Source organism: Homo sapiens, chromosome 14 (genome assembly GCF_000001405.40).
Source record: "Homo sapiens chromosome 14, GRCh38.p14 Primary Assembly".
In the NCBI taxonomy this organism is placed as follows: Eukaryota; Metazoa; Chordata; class Mammalia; order Primates; family Hominidae; genus Homo; species Homo sapiens.
In genome coordinates, this window is record NC_000014.9 from 74,331,394 (window position 1) to 74,351,015 (window position 19,622).

General features: G+C 45.9%; 1 protein-coding gene across 2 annotated transcripts in view, besides 2 other annotated features; it reads left to right on the forward strand.

Annotated features, from left to right (window-relative positions):
* Window positions 1-19,622, forward strand: part of VRTN (vertebrae development associated) — a 57,016-nt gene that overhangs the window by 28,401 nt on the left and 8,993 nt on the right. The window contains exon 2 of one of the 2 annotated variants that reach the window (XM_011536911.3): window positions 6,330-6,491. The gene's annotated coding sequence lies outside the window, so the exon portion shown is untranslated. Of the gene's footprint in view, window positions 1-6,329; window positions 6,492-17,077; window positions 17,260-19,622 lie in introns of those variants that run through there. The other variant, NM_018228.3, reaches the window with a different exon arrangement.
* Window positions 17,341-18,091: an enhancer, noted in NCBI's record as "NANOG-H3K27ac-H3K4me1 hESC enhancer chr14:74815437-74816187 (GRCh37/hg19 assembly coordinates)". NCBI's record gives its function as "activates a minimal SCP1, AML or CMV promoter by ChIP-STARR-seq in naive H9 embryonic stem cells {active_cell/tissue: H9 hESC(naive)}" and the evidence as "EXISTENCE:reporter gene assay evidence [ECO:0000049][PMID:30033119]".
* Window positions 18,092-18,841: an enhancer, noted in NCBI's record as "NANOG-H3K27ac-H3K4me1 hESC enhancer chr14:74816188-74816937 (GRCh37/hg19 assembly coordinates)". NCBI's record gives its function as "activates a minimal SCP1, AML or CMV promoter by ChIP-STARR-seq in naive H9 embryonic stem cells {active_cell/tissue: H9 hESC(naive)}" and the evidence as "EXISTENCE:reporter gene assay evidence [ECO:0000049][PMID:30033119]".

A 19,622-nucleotide genomic window follows, 5' to 3' on the forward strand; every position in this document is an offset into this window, starting at 1 on the left:
TAGCAGGTGCCTGTAATTCCAGCTACTCAGGAGGTTGAGGTAGGAGAATCGCTTGAACCCAGGAGGCAGAGGTTGCAGTGAGCCAAGATTGCACCATTGCACTCCAGCCTGGGCAACAAGAGCAAAACTCCATCTCAAAAAAAAAAAATTTTATATATATATATATATATATATATATATATATATATATATATATACAAAAAAGAAAACACACAAGTCTGCACAGTGCCTGATATAGTAGAAGTCCTCAATAAGTTCTAGCTTATTCATTTCAGGAATGGAGGGAGCTTAGAGGTAATTTTAGTGCCTGCAGAATACTAGATGTGCACACTTTACGTTGTGTAAGACGTGAAATCTTCACAACATGCCTTTCACGCAGACATTGACATCCTTATTTTACAGATTAATTTAACTAGGTTAGTATCTTGTTAGAAGCTAGAAGTAAAAGCCCAGTTTTGTTCAACTCCAAATTCCGTACTTTGTTCACCACACTCTGTCACTTCTAAGGGACACTTGGGGTGGGAAATCAACTGTGATTAGGTCCCTCATTTTCAGGCTCACCCTACATATGCGTCCAAAGGAAGGGAGCATGTGGCTGAAGTTATCTGGGATTACTTTGCTTAGAGATGATAGGACACCTTAAAAGACTGTGCCCATATGTAGTTCTGCAAGGGCCTGAAGTTGAAGCCACACCATGGGAAAAAAAAGGAAGGTCCCATCTCTGAGCCCCAAGGGGAGATGTTAGGGGTTTTGGACCTTTGTTCTGTATTGTAGATAGATTTGCACAGAGGACCCCTCCCAAACCTACTCACTCCCAATCCCAAAGCTTCCATTTCCTCCTCCCTCAAAGCAACTGCTGCTTACCTGGCTTTCACACCTGTGTTTTCTGGCCTGGCAGGACAAGTCTACCTTTCCCCCTCCGGAGGATCGACTCCTAATCTGTTTTTTTTTTTTTTTTTTTTTTTTTTTTTTTTTTTTTTTTTAGATGGAGTTTTGCTGTTGTTGCCCAGGCTGGAAGTGGCGCGATCTCGGCTCACTGCAACTTCCGCCTCCCGGGTTCAAGCGATTCTCCTGCCTCAGCCTCCTGAGTAGCTGCGATTACAGGTATGTGCCACCTTGCCCGGCTAATTTTTTTGTATTTTTAGTAGAGATGGGGTTTCTCCATGTTGGTCAGGCTGGTCTCGAACTCCCGACCTCAGGTGATCTGCCCACCTCGGCCTCCCAAAGTGCTGGGATTACAGGCGTGACACCATGCCTGGCCTCCTAATCTATTTTTTTTTCTTCACTTCCTTTAACAACCAGTGCCCTTGGGCATTGTCCCATCAACTCTTTTTACCTCTTTTCACATTGCTTGAATCAAATATTCACAAACAGGTATTTCTTGAGCACCCACTTGGACCCAGCAGTGTGAGTGGCACATTAGTCCTGCAGAGACTGTCATGCATCTTCCATTGCTTCCTTCTCTTGAAATCTTTGCTCTCCCATGCCACCTTCTTCAGGAAACTTTCCTGGGTCTCAGCTCCTCAGTGTCCTCATGGCATTCAGACATGTCTGTTACATGGCTTCCCATATTCTATTCTCGGGTTATGGTTATTTGGATGCATGTCTCCCAAGCTAGATTTCTTTGAAGGCAGAAATCACATTCTTTGTCTTTGTATTCTTCAAATGCCTAACACAGTGACTGGCACATTAAAAAATATGTTTATATGCCAGGCACGGTGGCTCATGCCTGTAATCCCAGCACTTTAGGAGGCCGAGGCGGGCGGGTCACCCGAGGTCGGGAGTTCGAGACCAGCCTGACCAACATGGTGAAACCCCGTCTCTACTAAAAATACAAAAATTAACTGGGTGTGGTGGCATGTGCCTGTAATCCCAGTTACTTAGGAGGCTGAGGCAGGAGAACTGCTTGAACCCAGAAGGCGGAGGTTGCAGTGAGCCGAGATTACACCATTGCATTCCAGCCTGGGCGACAGAGCGAGACTCCATCTCAAAAAAAAGAGGTGGGAGGATCACTTGAACCCGGGAGATCAAGGCTGCAGTGAGCCAAGATGATGCCATTGTACTCCAGCCTGGGACAGAGTGAGACTCTGTCTCAAAAAGGAAAAAAGAAAAGCAAGGGTAAAGAAATCATTGAGTAAGAGTGAATAATAACATTAAAACAACAGGGTGGGCATGGTGGCTCACATCTGTAATCCCAGCACTTTGGGAGGCCGAGGCAGGCGGATCACCTGAGGTCAGGAGTTCAAGACCAGCCTGATCAACATGGTGAAACCCCATCTCTACTAAAAATACAAAAATTAGCCAGGCATGGTGGCGCATGCCTGTAATTCCTGCTACTCTGGAGGCTGAGGTAGGAGAATCGCTTGAACCCGGGAGGTGGAGGTTGCGGTGAGCCAAGATCGCGCCATTGCACTCCAGCCTGGGCGACAGAGCGAGACTCTGTCTCAAAAAAAAATAAATAAAAATAAATAAATAAATAAAATAAAACAACATAACAACATTTGAGTGTTCACTATATGTTCACTGCATTGTTCTAGTTGCTTTACATGCACCATCTTATTTAATCTTCATAATGATTCTATGAGGTTACTACAGTTACAATCACCATTTCACAGATGAGGGAACTGAGGCACAAAGAGGTTAAGCAACTTGCCCAAGTTCACACAAGTAGTAAGTGGCTCACCCAGGCAATGTGGTTCCAGAAGCTACGCTCATTACTAAAGCCCTCAGAACGTGAATGTTAGGCATTCTATGCATACATCTGGTTTGTGGTTTGGCTCTGAGGTTCCTGGAAGCCAAAGCCAAGAAGGAAAGGTATTAAATGATATAAGTTCATTAAAAACAATAAACCTAGGCTGGGCACAGTGGCTCATGCCTGTAATACCAGCACTTTGGGAGGCTGAGGCGGGCGGATTGCTTGAGCTCATGAGTTCGAGACCAGCCTGGGCAACATGGTGAAACCCCATCTCTAATAAAAATACAAAACATTACCCAGGCATGGCGGTGGGTGCCTGTAGTCCCAGCTACTAGGGAGGCTGAGGTGGGAGCATCAATTGAGCCTAGGAGGCAGAAGTTGCAGTGAGCTGAGATTGCACCACTGCACTCCAGGCTGGATGACAGAGCAAGACTCCATGTCAAACAAACAATAAACCAATTGCTGGGGAGAAACATAGCTTTTTGTGACCCTGAGTCTGAGAGAACTCATAAAGAAGATACTGTTTTCCAAATTTTATAGGTTAACATTCCATGAGCAAAATGGTTAAACTTCCCAACATAGGTATATTTCTTTATAAATGATATGTATGCACTATTATATTCTGTGCCTTGTAAAACACAAATGTAGAAATGGAAAAGAATGAAAGAAAATATGTATCTACACGGAAGTTCTTCTGAGAATCATCTTGCATACTCCCAGGTACATGCCGCCCACCTCTGAGCTCCTTGGTACGGAGGGTGGGTCTATGGATTGGATTCTGGCAGTAGATAAGAGTAGCAGTCTTCACATCACCATTGAGTAACTTGAAGAATACGAAGACAAAGAGTATGATTCCTGCCTTCAAAGAAATCTAGTAGGGGAGACCTGCATTCAAATAACCATAACACAAAGGCCAGGCACGGTGGCTCACACCTGTAATCCCAGCAGTTTGGGAGGCCGAGGCAGGTGGATCACTTGAGGTCAGGAGTTTGAGACCAGCCTGGTCAACATGGTGAAACCTTGTCTCTACTAAAAATACAAAATTAGCCAGGTGTGGTGGTGCATGCCTGCAATCCCAGTTACTAGGGAGGCTGAGGCAGGAGAATAACTTGAACCTGGGAGGCGGAGTTTGCAGTGAGCTGACATCATGCCACTGCACTCCAGCCTGGGTGACAGAGCAAGAAAGAATAACCATAACTGGATAATAGAATATGGGAAGCCATGTAGCAGACACATCCAATAACCCTCAGTGGGGATCCAAAGCATGACACAGAAAAAGCAATTCAGTGACAGTAGGTCTAGAGGTGTCAACGTAATGTGGTCCAAGTACATACCTCTCTGATTGGCTAGTTTGATCTAATCACTATTTTAAAATATGACTAATATTAATTGAGCATTTTGTGTATGATAGCCACTGTACTAAATGCCTGACTTGTATTTCTTTCATTTAATCCTTATCACAGGCCTGTAATGAACCTATATTATTATATCACTATTTTACAGATGAGGAAATTAAGGCTCAGTAGAGCTGGGATTTAAACCCATGTTTATTCAACTCTAAAGCCAGTGATTTTCATTGCCATTCTATACAGGCTTAGAAATTTTCAATATAGGTGTCCTTAAGCAGTTTCTCCCCTTTTACAGATGTTCTATTTTTTTTTTTTTTTTGTGAGATAGGGTCTTGCTCTGTTGCCCAGGCTGGAGTGCAGTGGTATGGTCTCGGCTGACTGCAACCTCCGCCTCTTGGGTTCAAGCAATTCTCCTGCTTCAGCCTCCCGAATAGCTGGGATGACAGATATGAACCACTAGGCCCAGCTAATTTTTGTGTCTTTAGTAGAGATGGGGTTTCACCATGTTGGCCAGGCTGGTCTCAAACTTCTGACCTCAAGTGATCTGCCTGCCTCGGCTTCTCAAAGTGCTGGTATTACAGGTGTGAGCCACCGCACCCAGCCTCAGATCTTCTTTATTTATTTACAAAAAGAATGCATTCTTGTGGCAAAAATGCAAACAAAACTGAAGTGTGCAAAGTAAAAAAGCTGGCCAGGTGCGGTGGCTCACGCCTGTAATCCAGCACTTTGGGAGGCTGAGGCAGGCAGATCACCTGAGGTCAGGAGTTTGAGACCAGCCTGACCAACATGGAGAAACCCTGTCTCTACTAAAAATACAAAATTAGCTGGGCATGGTGCTGCATGCTTGTAATCCCAGCTGCTCGGGAGGCTGAGGCAGGAGAATTGCTTGAACCTGGGAGGCGGAGGTTGCAGTTAGCCGAGATTGCACCATTGCACTCCAGCCTAGGCAACAAGAGTGAAACTCTGTCTCAAAAAAAACCCGCCTCTTTCCACAAACCTCTTCTCCAGGGTTTTCCATTAGTTTGCTCCATTTATAGTCTCCCAGACACTTCTTTCTACTCCCTAAACACGTGTATATATATATACATACATAATAGATAGATTTTTGCAAAAGTGGATTCATAAGATTTATTTAACTCTGAAATCCCACTTTAATTTGGCTATCTTTCTGGGTTAGTTCCCATAGATCTATTGACACATCAGTAGTGGGTAATATAATTGAACTAAAATGTTCCCTCCTGGTGAATCGCTTGAACCAGACGGAGGTGGAGGTTGCGGTCAGTTGAGATCGTGCCATTGCACTCCAGCCTGGGCAACAAGAGCGAAACTCCATCTCAAAAAAAAAGTTTCCTCTTGGTAATTTTTTTCGCTATTTTCCTCTAGGTGACTTTAGAGAATTGTCCTTTTTCTTTCTCTCCTCTTTTTCTCCTCTTTTCTTACCCCTTTGGCTTTAGATCTTATCTAGATGCTAACAACTCCCACACTTACTTCACTCTTACCTGGAACATTTTGTAATTTTACGTATTTTGAAAATTTACTTTGAATTGGGTTTATGCCTGTTCAGAACATACTGTCCTTGAAGAATGTATTTTTGTATCTGTTTGTACTGATGAAAAGAAACTCTGGGCCAGGTGCAGTGGGTCACGCCTGTCATCCCAGCACTTTAAGACTGAGGTGGGTGGATCACTTGAGGTCAGGAGTTTGAGACCAGTCTGGTGAACATGGTGAAACCCAGTCTCTACTAAAAATACAAAAATTAGCTGGGCATGGTGGCACATGCCTGTAGTCCCAGCTATTCGGGAAGCTGAGGCAGGAGAATTGCTTGAACCTGGGAGGCGGAGGTTGCAGTGAGCCGAGATCGTGCCACTTTACTCTAGCTGGGTGACAGAGTGAGACCCTGCCTCAAAAAAACAAAAAACAAACAAAAACAAACAAACAAACAAAACAACAAAAAAAGAAACTCTGGAAGGAAACTAATAAAGGTGGTTGCCAGTGTGTGGTAATGGGGGATGAAAGGAGTTGGGAGTAAACTAACCAAGACCAAAGATACTAGGCCTGAGAGGAAGAGCAGGGTGATTGGGAGACGTTGAGTTTGGCCTTGTGGTCTTGTTTCCCCTTCATGGATGAAATAGAGAGGGCTGAAGAAATGCAACAAACTCGGAGGGGAAGGACCACAAGCCCTTGAAACTGCTTCAGGGCCAACTGTTCCCCTAGTGGGTACCTGTGCCTGTTTTCTTGGGGTGGGAGAAGGGCTGAGTTATTGACAAGCCTTCTTGCCTCGCCAGGTACGTTTCCTGAGGACAGCTGCTCTGTGAAGCCCACTGCCCCAAAGGCACCTATCAAAGACCCTGCAAACAAGCAGATGGCAATCCAGGTTGCCAATGACATTGCCCATCCCAGGTACCTGGGCTGCCTGCTTTTCCCTGAAGTGGGAGCCTGGCTTGCAGGTAAGTGTCCTTCCCCTTTGCTCCTTTAAAGTGATACTTCACTCCTCAAATAAAATGTTTCATCTTTTTATTGTAAAAGTTATTAAGCACACCCAAAATGAAAAATGGTATAATGAACCACTCAGAATGAATAGTAAAATGAACTCCTGATCCAAAAAGTATCACATTGTGCCATATATATTCTTTTTTCTGATTAAAAAAATCAAATCCCTGACATTTTATTCCTAAATTCTGAAATGTATATCTAAAAGTTTAGAACATTTTCCTATGTAACCATCATACTGTTCTCACTCCTAACAAATTTAACATTAATTGCTTCGTATACTCTAATATCTAATCTATATTCACACTTACCCCTAAGTGAAATGACTTAAAGCCATGAATAATGTTAGATTGGAGTTGCAAATGAAACCAGAGAAGCCAGCATCAGCCTGACAGCCCTCTTAGCACAGATCTCTGAGAAACGCCAGTACCCAGGAATGAGGGGCTCAAGAAATACTTGTTACTTTCCTCAGTAATAGCAAGTCATGGTAGCTCTCATTATGAGCTCTTACCATAGAGAATTTGCTATGCACTCTTCTGTCCTGACTGGAAGACTGCGTTCACTCTTTGTGTGTCTTCCACAGAGCTGAGTATAATGCCTACACAGAGTAGATGTTTAACAAATTGTAATTTGTTTTTTGTTTTAGAGATAGAATCTTGCTCTGTTGCCCAGGCTGGAGTGGAGTGGCATAATCACAGCTCACTGAAGCCTCAAACTCCTGGGCTCTAGTGATCCTCCTGCTTCAGCCTCCTGAGTAGCTGGGACTATAGTTGCATGCCACCACATTCAGCTAACTATTTTTATTTTTTATTTTTGAGATCGAGTCTCACTCTGTTGCCCAGGCTGGAGTGCAGTGGCAAGATGTCAGCTCACTGCAACCTCCGCCTCCTGGGTTCAAGCAATTCTTGTGCCTCAGCCTCCTGAGTAGCTGGGACTACAGGTGTGAGCCACCATGCCCGGCTAATTTTTAGATTTTTAGTAGAGATGAGGTTTCACCATGTTGGCCAGGTTGCTCTCGAACTCCTGACTTCAGGTGATCTGCCTGACTTGGACTCCCAAAGAGCTGGGATTACAAGAGTGAGCCACTGTGCCAAGCCATTTTTTTCTTTTCTTTTTTTTTGAGACAGGGTCTTACTAGGGTGCCCAGGTTGACTTTGAACCCCTGGCCTCAAGTGATCCTCCTGCTTCAGCCTCCCAAGTAGCTAGGATTACAGGTGGGAGCCACTAATTGTAATTTGAATTGACAATCATATTTCCCTGGTATTATTTCCTCAGGGCCAAGTAGTGTTATGGCTGTTTTATCAGATCATTTCATTGGCCCTGTAAAGTAGATATCACTCGCCCCATTTCACAGATGAGGAAACTGAGGGTCAGGCATGTTCAAAGTTCTGTAACTAGGAAGTAGGGGAGCTGAGACTCAATTCTGGTTGCTCTGACTCCAGAGTCTGAGTGGTCATCCATCTCTTGGTAGTCACCAAGGGACTCTGGATGGGGGAGTAAAGGTCTCAGTCCTGGGTACAGGCAAGAGAGGGTAAAAGAGAAGGGTGGAGGAGGGGGAGAGAAAAAGGAAGGAGAAAGAAAGAACAAAAGAAAAAGAAATCAGGGTGGGCATGGTGGCTCATGTCTGTAATCTCAACACTTCAGGGGCCAAGGCAGTGGGAGGATCACTTGAGCCCAGGAGTTCTAGAGCAGGCTGGGAAAAATAGTGAGGCACCATCTCTACTAATAAGAAAAAATTTCATTGGGCATGGTGGCACATGCCTGTAGTCCCAGCTACTTGGGAGGCTGAGGCGGGAGGATCGATTGAGCCCAGTATTTTGAGGCTGCAGTGAGCTGTGATTGCACCACTGAATTCCAGCTTGGGCAACAGAGAAGACCCTGTCTCAAAAACAGAAAATAAAAGAAGCTAGGAGAACATGTCATAAAAGTAAGACTAGCAGTAATTGGATTTAAGGCCTTTGTTTACAGTGAATATAATAGGTGTTTGTTGTGTTGTAGAATGAATGAGAAGCCTTTTCTTTTTTTTGAGATGGAGTCTCACTCTGCTGCCCAGGCTAGAGTGCAGTGGCATGATCTCAGCTCACTGCAACCTCTGCCTCCTGGGTTCAAGCAATTCTCCTTCCTCAGCCTTCCCAATAGCTGGGAATACAGGTGTGTGCCACCACACTCAGCTAATGTTTGTATTTTTTTTTTTTTTTTTTTGAGACGGAGTTTTGCTCTTGTTGCCCAGGCTGGAGTGCAAGGGCACGATCTCAGCTCACCGCAACCTCCGCCTCCCAGGTTCAAGCGATTCTCCTACTTCAGCCTCCCTAGTAGCTGGGATTATAGGCATGTGCCACCACGCCCGGCTAATTTTGTATTTTTAGTAGAGACGGTGTTTCTCCATGTTGGTCAGGCTGGTCTCAAACTCCTGACCTCAGGTGATCCACCCACCTCGGCCTCCCAAAGTGCTGGGATTACAGGCGTGAGCCACCGCGCCCGGCCATGTTTGTATTTTTAGTAGACACGGGGTTTCACCATATTGGTCAGGCTGGTCTTGAACTCCTGAGAGGTGATCCGCCTACCTCCGCCTCCCAAAGTGCTGGGATTACAGGCGTGAGCCACCATACCCGGCCAATGAGAAGCCTTTTGAGTTTCAACTCTCACACTCTAAAGTCTAGAGTTCAGTCTGTAGACATCATTGTATTCCTGGGGCTAGCCTGGAACCTGGCACATATTAAGAGCTCAAATATCTGTTGAATGAATGACTGAATGTATGAATAAATGCACAAGTGAATAAATAAATGATTGAATGAATGATGAATTATATGAAATAACAATTTATTTTTATTTTTATTTTTTGAGACGGAGTCTTGCTCTGTCGCCCAGGCTGGAGTGCAGTGACGCAATCTCAGCTCACTGCAGCCTCTGCCTCCTGGGTTCAAGCAATTCTCCTGCCTCAGCCTCCTGAGTAGCTGGAGTACGCGCAGCCACTCCCGGCTAATTTTTGTGTTTTTAGTAGAGACGGGGTTTCACCATGTTGGCCAGGATGGTCTTGATCTCCTGACCCTGTGATCCGCCTGCCTCGGCCTCCCAGAGTGCTGGGATTACAGGTGTGAGCCACCGTGCCCAGCTGAAATAACAAATTATTTAACAAGTCATTGAGTGAATGAATTAATTGATGGGACAGATGGATGAATTCTTTAAATCTCTGTAGAAAGAAGGTGAGTAGGGAAGAGAATAACTGAATAGCAGCACTATTTACTGAGCATTTCATTATTAGACCAGTGCTAAGAATTTCACAGTTTTTCCATTTAATCCTCACAGCAACCTCTCTGGGGTTGTTACCATCATTTTCTAAGAGAGCAATTAGATCTGGGGAGGCCAGGTAATTTACTCCATGTCCCACAGGGCAAAGCTGGAATACTGACCCTATCATACTCCAAAATTTAGACTTTTTACCACCCAATCAATGTCCTGTTCAACATAGGACTTGCTTTTAGTAGCTGATGCAAGTTCAGGTGAGCCACCACTTACACAACCCCTGGAAAGCTGTAAATTTAAACATAAACATTGTTAATTACTTCTTTAAAGCTTTTCTATTGCATGTCTCTTTATTTATTTATTTTGAGACAGAGTTTTGCTCTTGTTGCCCAGGCTGGAGTGCAATGGCACCTTCTTGGCTCACTGCAACCTTCGCTTCCTGGGTTCAAGTGATTCTCCTGCCTCAGCCTCCAGAGTAGCTGGGATTACAGGCGCCCAGCACCATGCCCAGCTAGTTTTTGTATTTTTAGTAGAGATGGGCTTTCACCATGTTGGCCAGGCTGGTCTCGAACTCCTGACCTCAGGTGATCCACATGCCTCGGCCTCTCAAAGTGCTGGGATTACAGGCGTGAGCCACCACACCTGGCCGCATGTCTTTTTGTAAGTGAAGGATTACCCCCAACTCCTCTGCTTCTGAAATCTGAATTTTGTTCAAAGCGAGGTATATATTAACTAAAGATGTCTACTTGTGGAAGCTGGTTTAGTTATTGCTGGGAAACTGGGATTTTGGTGTTTGAACACCTTAATAACCAGGCCCTTAATTTTGTGACATCTCATCTTGACAGTTTAAATAAAAGTAAATTAAAATTTACCAAATCCCAAACCCATTAAAGAAAAGACAGATACGTCAGTCCAGGAGTTTGAGATCAGCCTGGGTATGGTATGCTCCTGTTCCTCAGGAGGCAGAGGCGGAGGCAGAGGCAGAAGAATCCCTTGAACTCAGGAGTTCGAGGCTGCAATGAGCTGTGACTACACTACTGCATTCCAGCCTGGGTGACACAGCAAGACCCTGCTTCAGAAAAAAAAAAAAGACAAGACAGATTTGTACCATATCTGTTCGGACTGTGGTTCAAAGTCCAACTAGGAACCACAAATTCAGAAAAAATATTTCTAATTCCTGTCATCAACCAAGGACTGTCTTAATATATCCTACATTTATTTCTGAGGGCTTGTGCAAAATAAAACTATACATGTATGTGTATGTAAATATGTGTATATATGTATTCGTGTATATATGTATATGCGCACATACACGTGAATGTATATATGTGTATGTGTGTGCATATATGTGTACATATATATACACACATATACACACTGTACAAAGCTCTGACAAATCAATAAGAAAAAGGGCTATAATCCAATAGGAAAATGGGCAAAGGATATTCAAAGGAAAAAAACACAAATGGCTTTTTTTTTTTCCTTGAGACAGGGTCTCACTCTGTCACCCAGACTGGATTGCAGTGGTGTGATCACAGCTCACTACAACCTTGAACTCCTCAGCCTCCCAAGTAGTTGGGACTACAGGCGCATGACACCACACAGGGCTAACTTTTTCTTTTTTACTTTTGTGGAGACAAGGTCTCACTGTGTTGCTCAAGCTGGTGTTGAACTCCTGGGCTCAAGTCCTCCTGCCTTGACCTCCCAAAGTTCTAGGATTACAGGTGTGAGCCACCACGCCAGTCTAAAAGGCTCTTACATATATGAAAAATGCTCTTTCATCATAATTTAAAAATGTAAATTAAAACTATACTGAGAAAAACAAAAAAACTATACTGAGGGAATAATTTTTCACCTATTAGATTGACAAAGATTATAAAACACTTTTTCTGATAACACATTATACTGGCAGGGTGGAGAAATTGTACTCTCATACTGTTTTCGGGAAAGTAAATTGATACAACTTTTTTTTTTTGAGACAGAGTCTTGCTCTGTGGCCAGGCTGGAGTGCAGTGCTGCGACCTTGGCTAACTGCAAACTCTACCTTCCAGGTTCAAGCGATTCTCCTGCCTCAATCTCCTGAGTAGCTGGGATTACAGGCACATGCCACCATACCCAGCTGATTTTTGTAGTTTTAGTAGAGACAGGGTTTCACCATGTTGGCCAGGCTGGTCTCAAACTCCTGACCTTGGTGATCCATCCGCCTCAGCCTCCCAAAGGGCTGGGATTACAGGCGTGAGCCACCGTGCCTGACTGGCCTGGTATAACTTCTAAGTGGGGAAATTTGCAAGATCTATACAAATTACTATTACACATACAATTTGAAGGTACGGCTATACTTGTACATGTGGAAAATTATGCATGTACAGGCTTACCCACCGTAGCATGGTTCAATCAGCAAAAGATGGAAATGACCTTAATGTTCATCAGTAGAAGACTGGATCCATAAATCACGCCCATGCATTAAATGGAGTTCATGCTATCTCGGCTAAAATAGAAGCCACCAGCCACATGTGGCTGTGGAGTATCTGAAATGTGGCTAATCCCAATTGAGATGTGCTTTAAGTGTAAAATACACACCAGATTTTGAAGACTTGGTACAAAAAAGGAATGTAAAACATACATCGCATTAATTTTTTTTTTTAAGACGGAGTCTCACTCTGTCACCAGGCTGGAGTACAGTGGCGTGATCTCGGCTCACTGCAACCTCCGCCTCCCGGGTTCAAGTGATTCTCCTGTCTCAGCCTCCCGAGTAGCTGGGATTACAGGTGTGCGCCACCATGCCCGGCTTATTTTTTTGTATTTTTGTAGATGCGGGGGTTTCACCATGTGGGCCAGGCTGGTCTCGAACTCCTGACCTCAAGTAATCCACCTGCCTCAGCCTCCCAAAGTGCTGGGATTGCAGGTGTGAGCCACCACGCCTGGCCTCCTTTTAACTTTAAAAAATGTGTTTACCGGCTGGGCATGGTAGCTAATGCCTATAATCCTAGCATTTGGGGAGGCCAAAGGGGGAGGATCACTTGAACGCAGGAGTTCAAAACCAGCCTGGACAGCATAACAAGACTCTGCTTTCTACAAAAAAAAAAAAAAAAATTAGCCAGATATGGTGGTGCCCAGCTATGGTCCCAGCCAGTTGGAGAAGCTGAGGTGAGAGGATTGCTTGATCAAGGTCAAGGCTGCAGTGAGCCGTGATCATGCCAGTGTACTCCAGCCTGGGTGACAGAGCAAGACTGTCTCAAAAAAAAAAAAAAAAAAAGTGTTCACTGGAAAATGTAAAAGTGGCTGGGCATGGTGGCTCACACCTGTAATCCTAGCACTTTGGAAGGCTGAGGTGGGCGGATCACTTGAGGTCAGGAGTTCGAAACCAGCCTGGCCACATGGTAAAACCCTGTCTCTACTAAAAATACAAAAAAATTAGCAGGGGCGTGGTGGTGGGCATCTGTAATCCCAGCTACTCAGGAGGCTGAGGCAGGAGAATCACTTGAACCTGGGAGGCAGAGGTTGCAGTGAGCTGAGATCGCGGCACTGCACTCCAGCCTGAGCAACAGATGGAGACTCTGACTAAAAAAAAAAAAAATGAAAAAAAGAAAAATGTAAAAATATGTGTGTAACCCTCTTTAAATTTCATTGGACAGTAGTGGCTCTGGATAAAAAAATGAAGTGAAAAAAGCAAGGTGCATAAGAGTGTATAGTAGACTACCATTTGTGCTTTAAAGAAAGGAAAAAAGCTCTGTCTCTGATACTTGCTTGTTTATACATAACCCATCTCTGGAGTGATGCACTAGAAACAATACTGGCTGCTTCTGGAGAGAGAAACTGTAGTAGAGAAAAGAGCTGAAATTTGAATCCTGATCTTTTTGTAAAATTTTTATTTTTATTTTTCATTTATTTTTTTGAGACAAGGTCTTGCTCTGTTGCTCAAGCTGAAGTGCAGTGGTACAACCTTGGCTCACTGCAGCCTTCACCTCCTGGGCTTATTGATCCTCCTGCCTCAGCCCTGAGTAAGTAGGATCACAGGTTCATACCACCATGCCTGGCCAATTTTTAAATTTTTGCAGAGATGGGAGCTTGGTGTGTTTGCCCAGGCTGGTCTCGAACTCCTGGGCTCAACTGATCCTTCTGCCTTGGCCTCCCAACGTGCTGGGATTACAGACATGAGCCACTGCACCCTGCCTATTTTTTTTTTTTTTTTTTTTTTTGAGATGGAGTTTCACTCTATCGCCCAGGCTGGAGTGCAGTGGCACAATCTCAGCTCACTGCAACCTCTGTCTCCCAGGTACAAGCAATTCTCCTGCCTCAGCCTCCCGAGTAGCTGGGATTATGGGCACCTGCCACCATGCCCGGCTAATTTTTATATTTCTAGTAGAGACAAGGTTTCACCATGTTGGTGAAACACCCAGTTGCACCCTGCCTATTATTACTTAGTCAAAAATGTTTTTAAAATAGCTTAACATAAAACAAAAATATCCTTGGCCAGGCATGGTCGCTCACATCTGTAATCCCAGCACTTTGGGAGGCCAAAGTGGGTGGATCACCTGTGGTCAGGAGTTCGAGACCACCCCGGCCAACATGGCGAAACCCTGTCTCTACTAAAAATACAAAAATTAGCTGGGTGTGGTGGCAGGGGCCTGTAATCCCAGCTACTGGGGAGGCTTAGGCAGGAGAATCACTTGAACCTGGGAGTTGGAGGTTGAGGTGAGCCGAGATTGTGCCACTGCACTCCAGCCTGGGCAACAACAGCAAGACTCCATCTCCAAAAAAAAAAAAAAAAGAAAAAGAAAAGCAAGGAAAATACCCATAGAGAAACTAGAAAAATAAACACGTATATATGCACATAAAAAGATGAAAATGGGCTGGGTACGGTGGCTTGCACCTGTAATCCCAGCACTTTGGGAGGCTAAGGCAGGAGGATTTGAGCCCAGGAGTTTGAGACCAGTCTGGGCAACATAGGGAGACCCTGTTTCTATTAAAAAAAAAAAAAATTTATCTGGGCATGGTGGCGTGTGCCTGTTGTCCCAGCTCCTCGGGAGGCTGAGGTGGCAGGATCACTCGAGCTCGGAGTTTGAGGCTGCAGTGAGCTATGATCCCACCATCTCACCCCAGCAGCAACAGAGTGAAACCCTGTGTCAAAAAAAGAAAAGAAAAGAAAAGAAAGATGAAAATGCACAGCAAAAGGACTGGCAGGTTTAGTGAGGAGAATGTGTTGGGTGTGGAACAAGGACTTGCTTACCTACTCTTTTTTTTTCTTTTTTTAAGACAGGATCTCACTCTGTCACCCAGGCTGGAGTGTAGTGGTGCAACAGTGCCATCATAGCTCACTGCAGCTTCTACCTTGTGGACTCAAGCAATCCTCTGGCCCCAGCCTTCCGAGTAGCTGGGACTATAGGCATGCACTACCACGCCTGGCCATTTTATTCTGTATTATTTCAATCTTTTGTAAAGAGAATGCTTAACTTGTGTAATTCTAAGAAAAAAGAACTGGATTAGAACAAAATATACTGAGATGTTAACAATAGCTGTCTTTAGATAATGGGATTATAGGTAATTTTTCTTCCCTTTACTTTACTTTAAAAAAATTTCCCAATTATTCTTAAATAACACTCTTACTTTTGTAATGGAAAAGCCAACAAACCTTTTTGTTTTTTCACTACTTTCTTTTTAAAAAACACTTTGAAAGATTCCATTAGCCTTTTAAAAATTTTTAAATTATCTTCATTGGTTTTTAAAATGATAGCAAGTAATGCAGACGTTTTTTATAAAATGTCAAACAGCACAGAGAGAACATAGTGTGGAAAGAAAAGGTATTTCGTAATTCCATCTCCTCCTATGAGATAACCACTATTCTCCAAAACTTTAAAAATACAGCATATTTATATTAAGAATTTAAACATAATTTCAAATTAACTGGAAAGGCTGAGAACTAGAATACACTTTCTTTGTACCAAGCAGAGTTCTAAATGTTTTAAATTTTATCATCTCGTGGAATTTATCCAATGACTCTCTGGGGTAGATGCTATACCCCATTAACCACAAAGTCAGGCTGGGAGGGGTTAAACAATTTGCCCAAGGCCACATTCTAGTAAGGGGCAGGATTGGCATTCAAACCCAAGTCCAAGACACCCGCTAAGCCACAGCCTCAGGCCACTGCCATTCCTGGTGGGTGGGGCGGGTGTGATTAAGATGCAGGAACTGGACTTGAGTTCAAGTGTGGCGGCTCTTCTTCCAGTGCCCCTGGGAAAGGGTGTTTTGTGAAGGATTTTTGCTTTTGGTGATAACTGTGGAGCTGTGATTGAGAGAGGAGAAAATGATAATAGTGGAGCTGGAGCATAATGGATGCATGGGGGCATTTTACAGTGGTTGTCAGGGGAGAGACAGCACGGAGGAGCTGTGGGTGGAATTGGAAAGAAGCAGTTAGCTACAGCACTCCAAAGGGTTAAAGCCAGGCTGGAAAGCCCCTTGGGGGGAAGCTGCCACCAAGGCTGCAATCCTGAGGCCTTCACCTCCCCCATCAGCAGGGGCTGGACTGGTTCCTCCTGGGATTATTTGAGGCCCCTGGGCCCTAGGTGAGCCATGGGGGAGGGACCGAAGCTGCAGGTACTGCGTGCCCCCACCTTTCAGTGGGGCTCAGTAAGTTAGGTGCCCTGGGATAGGCCCCCTGGCTCCTAACAGATGCAGCTCTGGCCCAGGCTTGCTTTGGGAATGAGAGGTGTTGAGCCCCAAGCCTGGGGGATGCTCAGAGAATGGTGGAGATGCAGCCTTTAGAGAAAGTGGGGCCTTCCTGGATGGGAAGGGAGACTGCCCCATGATGGGGCCGTGAGTAGCTCTCCAGTCTGCCTGGTTCTGCCTGTCTTACAGGACTGGGGTTGGTGAGAGCTGCCTCACAAAGAGATGCATTTTGAGGGTTCAGAGAGCCTCAAGGTATTTCTCTTAAGCAATTATCCATAGCTAGTTTCTGGGCCCCAGCTTTGCTCTCTTCCACCTCCTCTGCAAGCCTGGCCACAGACTTTCTTCCCCTAGGTCTTTCGATCTGAACCTTCTCCTCCCATTCCCTCCCCTCCCCCCAAACTCTTTGGAAATCTTTCAACTTTCTTTCAACTTTTCTCTGGGCAGTTTGGGGTTTGTTTCAGAGCTGGGTCAGGGCACTTTAACACCCCCAGCTGGGGAGAGTGGATGACAATAGCTGCTATCACTTTACCATTGGAAGTGACCCCCGAATTTGCACTTCTTTCATCTTGGTACAGAGCACTTGAGGGTGGGCGATTTCCTGGGGGGAGTGGCTTAAGCCGCTTCCCCACCGGCCAGTTGGCTGTAGACGGTCCATGCTCAATGGTCCTCTACAGATATGAAACTGGTTCTGGAGTGAGACGAGCTCGGCTGGGGACGCTACTTGAGAAGGCCTTTCCCCACAGGGTGACTTAAATGTCCCAGGCTGGAAGGTGGAGCGAGAAGTGGATGCCCCCAGGGCTCTGGGTCACACTCCAGGTCAGTAAAACAGCGAGTTTCCTCAAAACTAGGAAGGGTGGGGGTGCCCCGTACAGTTTGGAGGCTCCAGCGGGGTCAGGGATGATCTCGGGACCCTACTGGGCCCAGGTCAAGGAGTGGCCCCGTGAAGATGCTGTGGTGTATGTGTGTCTGGGAGTGTATGTAGAGGGAGAGGACGCATTGTTTCAAGCTCTCTTTCTCCCCACCCCCACCTCCACCTCCAGCCCTGTCCCCACCCCCACCCGTCTGCCTATCTCCCTTCCCCACCCTACACAATGGTCTGGCCTCGGTCCCTCCCCAGGTTCCCCGGGCTTCTCAGGTTGGATCCCTCGTCCCTGGAGCCCCGGACCTGCCAGCTCCCTCTTTTGCCACTCATTGCCTCCTGGCACCTTAAGGGGCAACCGGGAGCCTGTGCTGCTTCCCCTTGTGGGCTGCACTCTTCCTCCCTTCCAAACACGTGGTCCAGTAGAGCAACTGAACTGGGCTGGATTGACTTGGTGGCCTCAGGCCCACCCCTGTGACCCAAGGTGCAGCCACTACCCTTGGTGGTGGGAATTTCCTTGGGAAGTCACAGCCCAAAGGCTTGGCTGCCACCAGCCAACCCTGGCAGCTGCCCTTGCCCAGCTGGCCTCCAGGGCCACCGGGGAGGGAGCAAAGATGGCTGGCGCTCCCTTAGGCCCTGGCAGGCGCAGCCTGTGCAGTCGGGCTGGTGTGGCCAGGGCAGGGAGGGCAGGGCAGAGAGGCACGGCGCAAGGCTGGGTGAGGAGCCAGCCATCCAGGGGAGAATCGAACCCACAGCCTTACTGAGACCTGGTGGCCCATGTGCAGGTTGACTATAGAGAACACAGCGCCTGCTTTGGGAGGGAGAGGAAGAAAAGGGAGGGCTGAGAACATGGGATCCATGGTAAGCTAGAGCCCAGAATGAGGCTGGTGGGGAAGGATTTTGTTCTAAAGACCAGGCCAGGCTCATAACAGCAGATCTCTTGCCCCTCCATCCCTTGGCCCACCCAGATTCCTGGCTCACTCTTAAGACGCAGGGGACAAGAGGCCAGACCTGGGTTCTGAGACCCCATATGCTTGAAATAAAGAATGGGGGAGCGGGGAGGCTGACCTTGGTGAAGGCGAGGCTGTGAGTGCCCTGCAGAGTAGCCTGTGGCCATTCATTCATTCCTTGGCTTTACTGGAGCTAAGATCCTGGCTGGATGCCTCTGGATGTCCTGCCTTTACCCCCGCCCTTCTAATCTCAGGCAAGAGGAGGGGATGAGCCTGTGCAATCCCGAGTGTGCCTTGCCTCCTTGGTTTCATACCTTTTCAGATCACTTCCAAGAGTTGTGGGGGCCAGGGCAGGCCAGCTGGGCAAAGTCCATAGATTAGCTATCACTTTTTGCACCTCCTTCCCTGAATGCACCTGGCAACCGGCTTGTCTGCTTTGCATTGCACTTCTAGGAAGAGAGCCATTGCCAAAAAGACTGTTGCACCTGAACCCCATCATCAATTGTCTACTTAAGAGTGATAGGCTTCCCCGTGCAGCCCCTACCCTTTCCACACGGCCCTATTCTCTGGTGGGCGAATCCATCTGTGGGTTGGGAGTGAGTGTGGAGCTGCTTTTCCTTAAGCTTTTGAGGAAGCCAGAAGTGGGGTATCACATACTTGTACCTCCTACCTCTTTGGGGAAGAGAAAGGAATGAAATTGGGTGGAGCCGGGTGGAACTGGGCCTGGGAAGAGTAGATAGGGTGGGACGAGGAGGGTGGGGACAGGTGGGGACTGTGCAAGAGGAAGTGTGGCATATCTGGACGTTGTGTTGGAAGGTATCTGGACACTGCTGCATGAATTCAGGCAAGTCGACTCTACCTTTGTGGACCTCAATTTCCTTATCTGTAAAATGGCCAGGTTTGTCTTAAAGTCCTAAAAATCCATAAGTTTCTGGATCCATTGGATAATGAGAATTTTGGATGATGGAATTATAGTGCTTAGAAAGGGAGCTTGAGAGTCAGGCTGCTTAGACTTTGTAGCTTTTAAAAGCTGTGTGGTCTTGCGAAAGCTACTTAATGTAAACCCGGAACCTCCAGGTGTGAACTCGGACTAGGGATCCTGTAGATAGCGTAGGTGTGATGGAATTGTAGTTCACATGGAAGGAAGGTGAGAACCACATATAAACAAAATTACCACTGAAAAGCCTGAACTCCAAATGCTTGAGGGTGAAAAGCTGGCAGATACTTGTTAACACTTCAGGGAACATCATGCTCTCCTCAGGAAATCGGCTAATTGCGTGTAAGGGTATAAAAATATCCACACAGCTTCAGTATATTGTTCCCTCTTGTTTTTCCTGAGATTTTGGTTGAATTACCTAGTTAAATGCACA